The sequence below is a fragment of the Homo sapiens genome, chromosome 1, assembly GCF_000001405.40.
Source record: "Homo sapiens chromosome 1, GRCh38.p14 Primary Assembly".
Classification (NCBI taxonomy): domain Eukaryota; kingdom Metazoa; phylum Chordata; class Mammalia; order Primates; family Hominidae; genus Homo; species Homo sapiens.
In genome coordinates this window covers 25,115,207-25,127,262 of record NC_000001.11, presented here as the reverse complement: position 1 = coordinate 25,127,262, position 12,056 = coordinate 25,115,207, and the positions used below count along the sequence as shown (strand labels likewise).

The 12,056-nt window shown below is 46.5% G+C and overlaps 1 pseudogene, besides 2 other annotated features; it reads left to right on the top strand.

Annotated features, from left to right (window-relative positions):
• IFITM3P7 (IFITM3 pseudogene 7) lies at window positions 1,806–2,370 on the top strand (annotated as a pseudogene).
• Window positions 8,460–8,569: an enhancer, noted in NCBI's record as "active region_446". NCBI's record gives its function as "activates an Ori minimal core promoter by ATAC-STARR-seq in GM12878 lymphoblastoid cells {active_cell/tissue: GM12878}" and the evidence as "EXISTENCE:reporter gene assay evidence [ECO:0000049][PMID:35858748]".
• Window positions 8,620–8,679: an enhancer, noted in NCBI's record as "active region_445". NCBI's record gives its function as "activates an Ori minimal core promoter by ATAC-STARR-seq in GM12878 lymphoblastoid cells {active_cell/tissue: GM12878}" and the evidence as "EXISTENCE:reporter gene assay evidence [ECO:0000049][PMID:35858748]".

The following is a 12,056-nucleotide window of genomic DNA, read 5'->3' as shown; positions in this document are numbered from 1 at the left end:
GCCTCCCAAACTGCTGGGATTACAGGTGTGAGCCACTGCGCCTGGCCTTATTTTTTACTTTTTTGAGACAGAATCTTGCTCTGTCGCCCAGGCTGGAGTGCAATGGCACGATCTCGGCTCACTGTAACCTCTGCTTCCCGGTTTCAAGCAATTCTCATGTCTCAGCCTCCCAAATAGCTGGGATTACAGGCATGAACCACCACATCTGGCTAATTTTTTTGTATTTTTAGTAGAGATGGGGTTTTACCACGTTGGCTGGGCTGGTCTTGAACTCCTGGCCTCAAGTGATCTGCCCGCCTCGGCCTCCCAAAATGCTGGGACCACATGCGTGAGCTAACGCGCCCAGCCAGAGTTACTGCTTTGTAATGTAGTCCAATTATTTATTACCTTTAGGAGATGAAATGGACTTGTTTGCTATGATCAAAGGATCGTGTCATTCCCTGTGGCAGAGACTGCTTGCTGTGCACCAAAGTTCATTCTCCTCCCCTTCATGGGCATATAGCCCGACCACAAGTCCCAGCCTCCCTTGGGGCTGAGAGTGTTCATGTGACCTTGTTCTTACTAATAGAATGTGATGCATATCTCTCTAGGCCAAGCCTTGAGAAAGTGGCTGGGTCTTCTCTGTGAGCTCTGCCCATTCCCTCCAGCTGAGTCCTCAACCATGAGAGTGATAACATGTTCCCAAGGGATGTCAGAGCCTCCAGATGGAAGAAACCTGAATCCCTGAATCTCTACATGGAGTCGAGATACCTGCCAATTGTAAACTTTCACCTTGGATATGAACGAGAGCAGGAATATGTTTGCCTTTTTTGCTCTTAAAGACACTGCATTTTAGGGTCTTCTCATATTATAGCAGCTTATCTTACCCCAACTAATATGGTACCAACAGTCCCAGTCACTTTCTCCTAATACATTTTACCTCAAGGTTCAGAATTCAAGACTTAGCTTTATGCCACTGCACTAAGTCTCTTATTTGAGAGTAGAGCTTTTGCTTAGTGTATCCTAATTCTTAGGATGGAATCAGGGTTCTAGTTAGTTTCTTTTTTGAGCAGTTCTGTTGTAAGGATTGACATTTCATGGCTCTTATTCTTCCTTAGAGATCTTCCAAAGAAAAAAAGAGAAATTGTATGTTATTTTTAAATAGAAAAATATTGCTTTATCTTGCAATTACCACACGGGCCCATTGGACACCTTCTTAAATCTAAGATATATTATGGAATTGTATGATCTCATTTTTCCTATCTCTTGAAAAATTTTGCCATTTCCTCAGCCTAGAAATTACTTCATCATCACTTATTAACTATTCTAAGCTATGCGGAAAAGACTAAAATAATAAGAAAATGGAATGATGATGGAATTGCCTAGGAGGATGATGGAAAAATATTATAAATCATCAGTGTAGTATCACCCTATAGTTTTCTTTCTTCTTCTTTTTTTTCTCTTTCTGAGACAAGGTCTCACTCTGTCACCCAGGCTGGAGTGTGGTGGTGTGATCACAGCTTGCTGCAGCCTCAACCTCCTGGGCTCAGGTGATCCTCCTGCTTCAGCCTTTTGGGTAGCTTGGACTACAGGCGCATACCACCATGGCCAGCTAATTTTTTTTATTATTTGCATAGATGGGGTCTCACTATGTTGTCCAGGCTAGTCTCAAACTCCTGGGCTCAAGTAATCTGTCCACCTTGGCCTCCCAAAGTTCTGGAATTACAGGTGTGAGCCACCATGCCCAACCCAGTCTACAGTTTTCTTATTGTGTTGTCTTCAACAAAATTATAAGCCATTAACAATTTCAAAAATGTCTTTGAGTAACCATGAACCACACTGCCCAAACCTTCTTCACTCCCGCCAACACCGGCTGCCCCCTAGACTATCAGATGCTCAAGTAGGAGCATGAGGTGGCTGTGCTGGGGGCACCCCACAACTCTGCTCCCCCGAGGTCCACCGTGATCCACATCCACAGCGAGACCTCTGTGCCCAACCATGTTGTCTGGTCCCTGTTCAACACCCTCTTCATGAACTCCTGCTGCCTGGGCTTCATAGCAGTCACCTACTCCATGAAGTCTAGGGACAGGAAGATGGTTGGCGACCTAACCGGGGGCCAGGCCTGTGCCTCCACCGCCAAGTGCCTGAACGTCTGGGCCCTGGTTCTGGGCATCCTCATGAGCATTCTGCTCATCTTCATCCCAGTGTTGATCTTTCAAGTCTATCAATAGAACAGGAGGCAGCATCCAGGCCAGGAGCTCTGCCCACGACCTGTCGCACACACACTCCACCTTCCATTCCTCGACCTGCCCCTGGAGCCGAGTCCTGTATCAGCCCTTTAACCTCACACACTTTTCTACAATGGCATTCAATAAAGTACACGTGTTCCTGCTTAAAAAAATTCTTAAAGTATTGCACTTTGAGTTTGCAAGTGCAAGAAGGAAAATCAGAAATGATGAGAAGCTAGAATCCAATAGAGATGCATTTTGAATCTGAAATCTGTATTTATAAGATGCATGTGTTCCTGGTCCGTGCATAGCAGTTGATGAGAATTTAGGTGTATTCAGAGACTGTTGTCCATTTAAAGTATGTACCTTCCAAACCAGGAAAATAAGAAATAAAAATTTAGGTTTGTTATGTTTAAATTCTTTTTAGAATATATAATAAAGTTGTTCTTCACTCTCCCTTTGTTTTTATTTTTGTAAGTTTTTTTTAAAAAAAGATTTAAAATATTTAAGAGTGTTCCATATCACGAGGTCAGGAGATCAAGACCATCTTGGCTAACAAGGTGAAACCCTGCCTCTACTAAAAATACAAAAATTAGCCAGGCGTGGTGGCAGATACCCGTAGTCCCAGCTACTTGGGAGGCTGAGGCAGGAGAATGGTGTGAACCTGGGAGGCAGAGCTTGCAGTGAGCAGAGATCGTGCCACTGCACTACAGCCAGGGCGACAGAGCGAGACTCCATCTCAAAAAAAAAAAAAAAAAAAAAAAGAGTGTTCCATTAGTCCTAGATGGTAAATGATAGTGGGTCTTTTCCCTCATATACTGAAGATTAAAACAATCTCGCCAGGTGCAGTGGCTCATGCCTGTAATCCCAGCACTTTTGGAGGCCAAGGCAGGTGGATCACCTGAGCTCAAGAGTTAGAGACCAGCCTGGCCAACATGGTGAAACTCTGTCTGTACTAAAAGTACAAAAATTAGCCAGGCGTGGTGGCATGCACCTGTAGTCCCAGCTACTTGGGAGGCTGAGGCAGGAGAATTGCTTGAACCCAGGAGTCAGAGGCTGCAGTGAGTACCTTAAATACCCTGGAAAGACATATAAGCCCTACAAAGATTTGCAGACCTGCCACATTGGTGAAGTTTGCGGGGATATAGTGGTCTGGGGCGTGCTAGTACATTTCCTCTAAAGTAAAGGACAAGTTGTTGTACCTTACACATCTTACTGCTAAGAAATAGACACAATGCCTGGTGGGTCCCTTTGGAGTTTGGAGGCAGCTTTTAGCATACTTGCTAATACTGCTCTGACTCATTCCTTAGATGACTTAGAAAGCTGCCAGTTTTGAGTAGGCAGACAGCAAGAGAGGGTTCTGCAGTGTGTCCAGACTGCAGTGCGAGTGGGGCCTGCTTATCCACAGGGAGGAGGGCTCCTAATATTTTCATGAGCCCACAAAAAGATTTTAATTTATTTTAAAATCAAAAGAAAAATGAATATAATAATAATGATCCATTCTAGATTATGTTCATTTTTATACCACCAATGGAGTCACAAAAGAGAATTTTAATTTTTTTTTTTTTTGAGATGGAGTCTCACTGAGTCATTCAGGCTGGAGTGCAGTGGTGCCATCTTGGCTTACTGCAACCTCTGACTCCTGGGTTCAAGCCATTCTCCTGCTCAGCCTTACGAGTAGCTGGGATTACAGGTGTGCGCCACCACGCCCGGCTAATTTTTGTATTTTTAGTAGAGATGGGGTTTCACCATGTTGGCCAAGCTGGTCTTGAACTCCTGACCTCAGGTGATCCACACTTTGGCCTCCCAAAGTGCTGGGATTACAGGCGTGCTACTGCACCTGGCCTTACATTTTTTTTTTTTTAGATGAAAGACGAGGTCCGCTAAGGCAGGAATGCCTAGTGTCCATGAAAGTCATAATGCAGCCCTAGGTACAAGCTGCTGTGCCCCTTAGACCATCTGATCCAGCTGATCTGAAAGTGTCAGAGGTGTCGCTGCTAGATCGGCACACCATGCAGAGCATCTTGTGAGATCCACGGGGAGGGTCAGAGCACAGATCCCTGGAGTTCTGTATCAAGGCCAGGCCTCTCTGGCAGAGAGGACTCTCCATTGCAAAAGCAGCTCCTGGCATGACACCGAACAATGGTAGATATGGAGTACTTCACTGTGGAATGCAGGTGACCATGTGGCAGAGCTGCCTGTCTGTTGTGAGCTGTGTATTGTCAGAGCTTCCAAATAAAAATGCTAGTTATAATGCTTCGAGTTATATGATGGAAATGGTTTATTTGGGGTTGGGTCCAAGCAGGTTCAGCAGGCACAAATAAATTATATGAACAGATAGCAGGGCAGAACCCATATAACTACCTTTTCCAAACTGACACTTCTCTATTTTTTTTTCAATAGAGATGGGTCTCACTATGGTTTTTTTTTTTTGTTGTTGTTGTTGTTGTTTGTTTTGTTTTTCTGAGACAGAGTCTTGCTCTTCACCCAGGCTGGAGTGCAGTGGCATGATCTCGGGTCACCGCAACCTCCATCTCCCGGGTTCAAGCAATTATCCTGCCTCAGCCTCCCGAGTAGCTGGGATTACAGGCATGCACTACCATGCTAATTTTTGTATTTTTAGTTGAGACAGGGTTTTGCCATGTTGGCCAGGCTGGTCTCAAACTCCTGACCTCAGGTGATCCGCCTGCCTAAGCCTCCCAAAGTGCTGGGATTACAGGTGTGAGCCACTGCGCCCGGCCAGGGTCTATGTTCAAACTCCTGGGCTCAAACTCCCGGGCTCAAGAGATCCTCCCACCTCAGTCTCCTGAGTAGCTGGGACCACAGGTGTTTGCCACCACGCCCAGCTAATTTTTATTATTATTATTTTTTGTAGAGACCAGGTATTGTTATGTTGCCCAGGCTGGTCTTGAACTTCTGGCTCAAGCAATCCTCCTGCCTTGGCCTCCCAAAGTGCTGGGATTACGGACATGAGCCACTGCACCTGGCCAAACTGATAGCTCTGACTCAGCTCACAAGTATGGCCTCAGAGGGTTCTTTAGGATCAACTGAAGAAAAGAACTCGGCTGGTTCACAGGTAGGTTGGAGCCATATATAGCACTGGCAAAACATGGACAGTTACCACCCCCTGGGGTGACCCTGGAAGACAATGGTGAAGAGAAATCCTCCTAGAAGAACACAGCAGTGGTAACTATACTCCACGGTCCCCACTGCACAGAGAGAAAAGCGACTCCCTACGTGGGAACGCATGACTCCTCGGCGTGGCTAATGGCTTGGCTCTGCTTTCTGGGGAAATCCGAGCTAGGACCTCAGGCTTACTCTCTTTCAGGCACTCATTAAATCCTTACGCAATTTTATCAGGTGGGTATTTTTGTAATCCACACTTGATAGATAAGGAAACTGAGATACAGAAGGGTTTGATAAAAGTTGCTCAAAGTCTCACAGTTAATAAGTGGCACTCTGGCCGGGTGTGGTGGCTCACGCCTGTAATCCCAGCACTTTGGGAGGCCGAGGTGGGCGGATCACGAGGTCAGGAGTTCGAGACCAGCCTGGCCAACATAGTGAAACCCTGTCTCTACTAAAAGTACAAACAATTAGCCAGGCGTGGTGGCAGGCACCTGTGATCCCAGCTAGTCGGGAGGCTGAGGCAGGAGAATCGCTTGAACCCGGGAGGCAGAGGTTGCAGTGAGCTGAGATCACGCCATTGTACCACTCCAGCCTGGGTGACAGTGTGAGACTCCGTCTCAAAAAAAAAAAAAAAATTGCTGGGTGTGGTGGCATGCCTGTAATCCCAGCTGCTTGGGAGACTGAGGCAGGAGAATTGCTAGAACCTGGGAGGCGGAGGTTGCAGTGAGCCGAGATCACACCACTGCACTCCAGCCTGGGAAACAGCAAGACTCCTCAAAATAAATAAATAAATAAATAAAAATAAAGTGGCACTCTGAGGTTCAAACTCAGGCAGTCCAGCTTTCCACTAATTTTCATGGTAGGGTAGAATGACTAGTACCATGCTGGAAGTTGAGACATCTCTGGGTTCGAATCCCAGTGACGACAACAATATCTTGGAGGGGTCTTGGGACAAGTTTCGTCTGTACTGTAGGGCCGTTTCCTCTTATAAAATGCTCAAACTCTATTATCACAAATGCTTCTAAGTTACTTGATTCTTCTGGGCATTCCAGGGGTTCAGGGTGGGTGAGGTACAGGGTGGTACACATATGAATAAGCCATAGTTCCCCACTAACACTGCAGCCCTCTCCGCAAGCGACAGCCATAAAGGCTGCATTCTTCACCTACCTGAGCAATTATGGGTTTGGAGGTTTTTAAATAATGATTCCAGCATGTGCTTTGTATAAATAAAGGTTGGGGCAGGGGGAGATGAGGGGAATGTGGGCCTGGCTCGTTTGCGCAGCTAAAAATAGAAACGTGAAAGTCCTATAATGATGAGGCAGAAACTTAAAACAAATTTCTTGGAAAATTTCATCCCCACCCCACATTGCCCAGGTATTTCCCCCTTTTCGCCTTGTGCAGAAGGAGGAGGGGAAATTGGGGTGAGGCGTGGGTATCACGACACACACTTCCTTCCTGGTGCTGAGAAGGAGGGGCTGAGGAGACCAAACTGGGAACAGAACGTCTGTTCAGGAGCCTGATGCAGGCTGACACGGGCCTTTGAGCTCCCTGAGTGGCATTTACAGCCACAGATATGGAAAAGAAAATAAATCTCCCAGACTTGGCATCTTGCTTTAATTAATACCATAATCAAGTTTCTGGCCTTGTGGAATGGAAGGATTTCAACACTCAAGGCCCCTCTGGCAGCCCAGCAAGAAGTGGGCCCCCTGGCCAGGCAGCCCCCAGGGCAATGGGCTGGCCAGGCAGGGCCAGGAGATCAGGGAGGGTGTGCTCAGGGATCCTGGACAGAACCGCGAGATGGGCTCCAGGTGTGAGGCAGGGGGCTCAGGAGGGAAGAAGGAGGGAAGAGGGAAGCCTCTATGGAAGGTCCTAATCCCTTGTGTTTATTGTGCATTTATTATGTCCTGAGCTTTCACCTTTATTTTTCCATTCAATCCCTACAGAAGAATTGGAGTTGTACTCCTCATTTTCCAGATCAGGAAACAGACCCAGAGAAATGGTGTGATTTGCCCAGAATCACACAGCTAGAAGGTGGTGGAGCTGGGATCTGAACCTAGGCTCTGTGAGTCGAGAGAGGCAGAGGATGGTGAACCAGCTCACTGAAGGATGGAGGACTGGTGCCTTCCATGTCTCCCCATGGCCTGGGTGGGAGGTAGGGAGGGCGTCCCTCTCAATCAGGATCACCCACTGTCTCTGTTTTAGCTGACAGAAGTCTTCCAAGGAGGGGCTGGGTGTGGTGGCTCACGCCTGTAATCCCAGCACTTTGGGAGGCTGAGGCGGGTAGATCACTTGAGGTCAGGAGTTCAAGACCAGTATGGCCAACATGGTGAAACCCTGCATCTACTAAAAATACAAAAATTAGCTGGGTGTGATGGTGGGCGCCTATAATCCTAGCTACTGGGGAGGCTGAGGCAGGAGAATCCCTTAGAACCCAGGAGGTGGAGGTTGCAGTGAGCTGAGATTGCACCACTGCACTCCAGTCTGAGCTACAGAGCAAGGCTCTGTATAAAAAAAAAAAAAAAAAAGAAGTCTTCCAAGGAGGATTTGGGGGTTGAGAGGCGATGGCCATATTTAAAAAGTGGCCTCAAAAGGAGAGAAGTGGTAGGTGCTGAGGAAGGTGGAGGAATGAGTGTGTGGAGCCCAGGTTGGTTCTCCAGCAAGTTCCCAGCCCTCCTAGGGGCTAGACGGAATGGATACCCAGGCTGCCTCCAATACACAGTCTCCACAGCACCACGAACCAAGAGCACAAAGAAGGAACCACAGTCCTGGCTGGCTGGGCCTCTGGTCCCCTGGGTGCTGAGCCAGGGTTGGGGCCAGGGCCTGATTTCTGCCATTCCCTCTCCCTCAGGAAGGCCCTTTTTGGACAGCCTCCCTGGCCTACATGCCTGGCTCTGTGTTGGAGGCTCCACCAAGTACATAAACATAGGAAGTCGTCAAATCATGATCTGGCCCCATACCTCTGTCTCTCCTCTCCCCTCCCAAACTCAATGCTCCAACTAAGCCGGTGTGCACGTGGGCTCCTGAGGGCCTGGGTTTGTGTGCTCATGCTGTTCCACACCCACTTCCCAGAAGGGTGGTTTCCCTATCACAGACGCTAAAGTCCTCTCCACCCCTCACTGGCTGGCCCAAAAGCTACCTCCTCCAGGAGGCCTCCCACGAGCATCTCAGCCAGAAGTAATTCTCCTACGTTTGAACACCCACAACATCCTTCTGCCTTTGAGCACCCATCTCCCCCTTTCTCATGACCAGGGTACTTTTCATCTTGCACGGAGTCACTCATTCATTTGAAACACTCATGGGTGCTTGCTTCATTTCTGGCATATTATTTTGTCTGTGACATACCTCTAAGTTCCTCGAAAGCAGAAGCTGGTTGCAGTTATGAACAATATTTCCCTTTGTTTAGTGATGACTCTGTTACCAGCATGTAAGCATTTTATGTGGATCTTTTAATCTTCACAAAACCCTATAAGGTTCATGTTCATCCTCCATATTTTATTGATGAAGGAACTGAGGCAAAAGAGGTTAAGCAAATTGTCCAAAGTCTAGTAAGTGGTAAAGCCAGAACTCAATCCAGTCAGTCTGATACCAGAGTCTAAACTTGTAACAGCTAGTTTAATGTCTGTAGAACTTGTGGAAGTGCCTGCATAGTGCCTGGCCAGTAGAAACAGATTTATTTATTTATTATTTTTTTTGAGATGGAGTCTTGCTCTGTTGCCCAGGCTGGAGTGCAGTGGCACAATCTTGGCTTACTGCAACCTCCACCTCTTGAGTTCAAGCGATTCTCCAGTCTCAGCCTCCCGAGTAGCTGGGATTACAGGCAGGTACTACTATGTCTGGCTAAATTTTGTATTTTTAGTAGAGACGGGGTTTCACCATGTTGGCTAGGCTGGTCTCGAACTCCTGACTTCAAGTGATCTGCCCACCTCAGCCTCCCAGAGTGCTGGGATTAAAGGCGTGAGCCACCACGCCAGACTAGAAACAGATTCTTAATGTTGCTTGAATGCAAACTCCTCACAGGGCCCCATATTGGACTTTGTATTTGCTTGTTTCCAAAATTTGTTGGTTGAATCAATGAAAAAAATGGCTAACGGAACGAACACATGGTTAAGTTTTGCAAGTTTTTCTAGTTATTTACTGCTGCATAACAAACCACTCAAACCAAGTGGCTTCAAATAACTGTATTATCTCATGATAATGAGATTGGTTCTGTAGATTGACATGGCTCGGCCGAGTGGTTCTGGCCTGAGGCCTCTCCTGGGGTTACAGTCAGGTGGCAACTAGAGCTGGAGCCACCTGGTGGCTCACCTGGACATGACGTCCAAGACGGTTTCTTCCCTCCTGTGTCTGGCACCTCAGCTGGGTGGCTAGAACAGCTGGAAGCTGGTTGGCATCTCTCTTGCCACATGGACTCTCCGTGTGGCTAGTTGAGGTTCCTTACAGCATGGTGGACTCAAGCTAGTTGGAATTCTTCCATGGTGTCTGGTTTTACCCAAGGCAGGCATTCCAAGAGGCCCTGGCCAAAACCTTGGAAGTCATATGACCTAGTCTCTCAAGTCACATGCCATCCTTTTGTTGCATTGAGTACTGGGAGGCATGGTTCATTGGTTTGGGGAGAGGACATATTTAGAGACTAGTTACTATGGGAGTAGCACTGAATCGTGAAGGTCCCAAGGTTTCTGTTACTCTGGCGTGACTGCGAATCAGGATCTAATCAGGAACTGAGGGTCGAGTGTTGATGTGAGGGTAAACTTCTAAATGAGGAGAGCTGACACCCATAATGTCTCAGCCTCTCCCAAAGAACAGAAGTTTGCCTAAATTGGGGCGCTGGAAATTTTGCTTCCTATTCCTTCCAGACCCAAATCCTCTAAATCCAAGTCAAATGGAAAAGCCTTTCTTGAGCACCTACTATGTGCCCTCCCCTGGGATTATTATTTTTAAATAATCCCTAATGCTTTTGAGTGTTTGTGCCTGACATTCTTCTAAGTGCTTACCCATATTGTATGTAATTCTCAGAACCATTCTATTTGTTAGGTACTTTCGTTATTCCCATTTTACGGGTCAGAAAAACAAGTCACAGGGATGTTAAGTAACTTGCCTAAGCTCCACCTAAGCCAGTCTGCACGTGGGCTCCTGGAGGGCCTGGGTTTGCATGCCAACCAACCCCTTCCTCAGCACCTGCCACTTCTCTCCTTATAGATCCACTTTTAAAATCTGGCCATCAACTCTCAATCCCCCCAAATCCTCCTTGGACGGCTTCTGTTGGCTAAAACAGAGAAGGTGGGTGATCCTGATTGGATCACCATTTCCCACCTCCCACTCAAGCCTTCGGGAGAGGTTAAGTAACTTGCCTATTGATCGAATCGGCTACCGAAGCTTGTGCATTCGTCACGTAGTTTTCGTGCCTTGGTTTTCAGCTCCATCAGGTCCTTTAAGGACTTCTCTGCATTGGTTATTCTAGTTAGCCATTCGTCTAATTTTTTTTCAAGGTTTTTAACTTCTTTGCCATGGGTTCGAACTTCCTCCTTTAGCTCAGAGTAGTTTGATCGTCTGAAGCCTTCTTCTCTCAACTCATCAAAGATATACCATGGAATACTATGCAGCCATAAAAAATGATGAGTTCATGTCCTTTGTAGGGACATGGATGAAGCTGGAAACCATCATTCTCATAAAACTATCATAAGGACAAAAAACCAAATACCGCATGTTCTCACTCATAGGTGGGAACTGAACAATGAGAACACACGGACACAGGAAGGGGAACATCACATACCGGGGCCTGTTGTGGGGTGGGGGGAGCGGGGAGGGATAGCATTAGGAGATATACCTAATGTTAAATGATGAGTTAATGGGTGCAGCACACCAACATGGCACATGTATACATATGTAACTAACCTGCACGTTATGCACATGTACCCTAAAACTTAAAGTATAATAAAAAAAAGAAAGAAAATAAATCTGAAAACAAGCCAAAAAAAAAAAAAAGTAACTTGCCTAAGCTCCTCTATCTGATTGCTTAAGTTCATGTAATTAGCAAACAAAGTTCAAATACCTGAGGATTTGAACTCAGGTATTTCTGACTCCAGAGCCCATGTTCTTTACCCCTCGCCACCCTGAGTCCCTGCTCTGTGAGGGACCTGAGCCAAAAGACATTGTTTCTGCCTTCCAGGAAATTGAGTCTAGTAAAGAAAATAAGACTCTTGTCTAAGAGTCTTAGACATTTGTTTAGGAAGCAATTCTGTTATTTTTAAATGGTCAGTGGAAAGTTATCTACCTCTCTGTAATAATGGTAAGGTGTAAATTTCATTTCACCAGAAATTCATTTCATTTCATTTGAATTTCTCCTGAATTACCCATCAGAATCAAGAGGAAATGTTTGACATGAGATCAGAATGGAAAAATCTCTATCTAATTGCACAAAAGAGGGTCCCTAGTTGTGTCAGTTAGCATTTGCTGCATAATCAACCACACAGAAATATAGTGGCTTGAAACAGGAAGGTATTTACTCAGGATTCTATGGTTTGGCAATTTGGGATGGGATCAGCTGGGCTGTTCTTCTCTTAGTCTCGGCTGAGCTCTTTCATGTGTCCACAGTCAGCTGACAGACAACGGTCTCACATTTAGTACGTGGTTGGCTGTTTCCTGGGGTGACTGGGCTATGTCTCTTACTATCAGTAGGTTACCAAGGGCTCTTCCGCATGGGTATGGTCACAGGGCTCCCGGGAG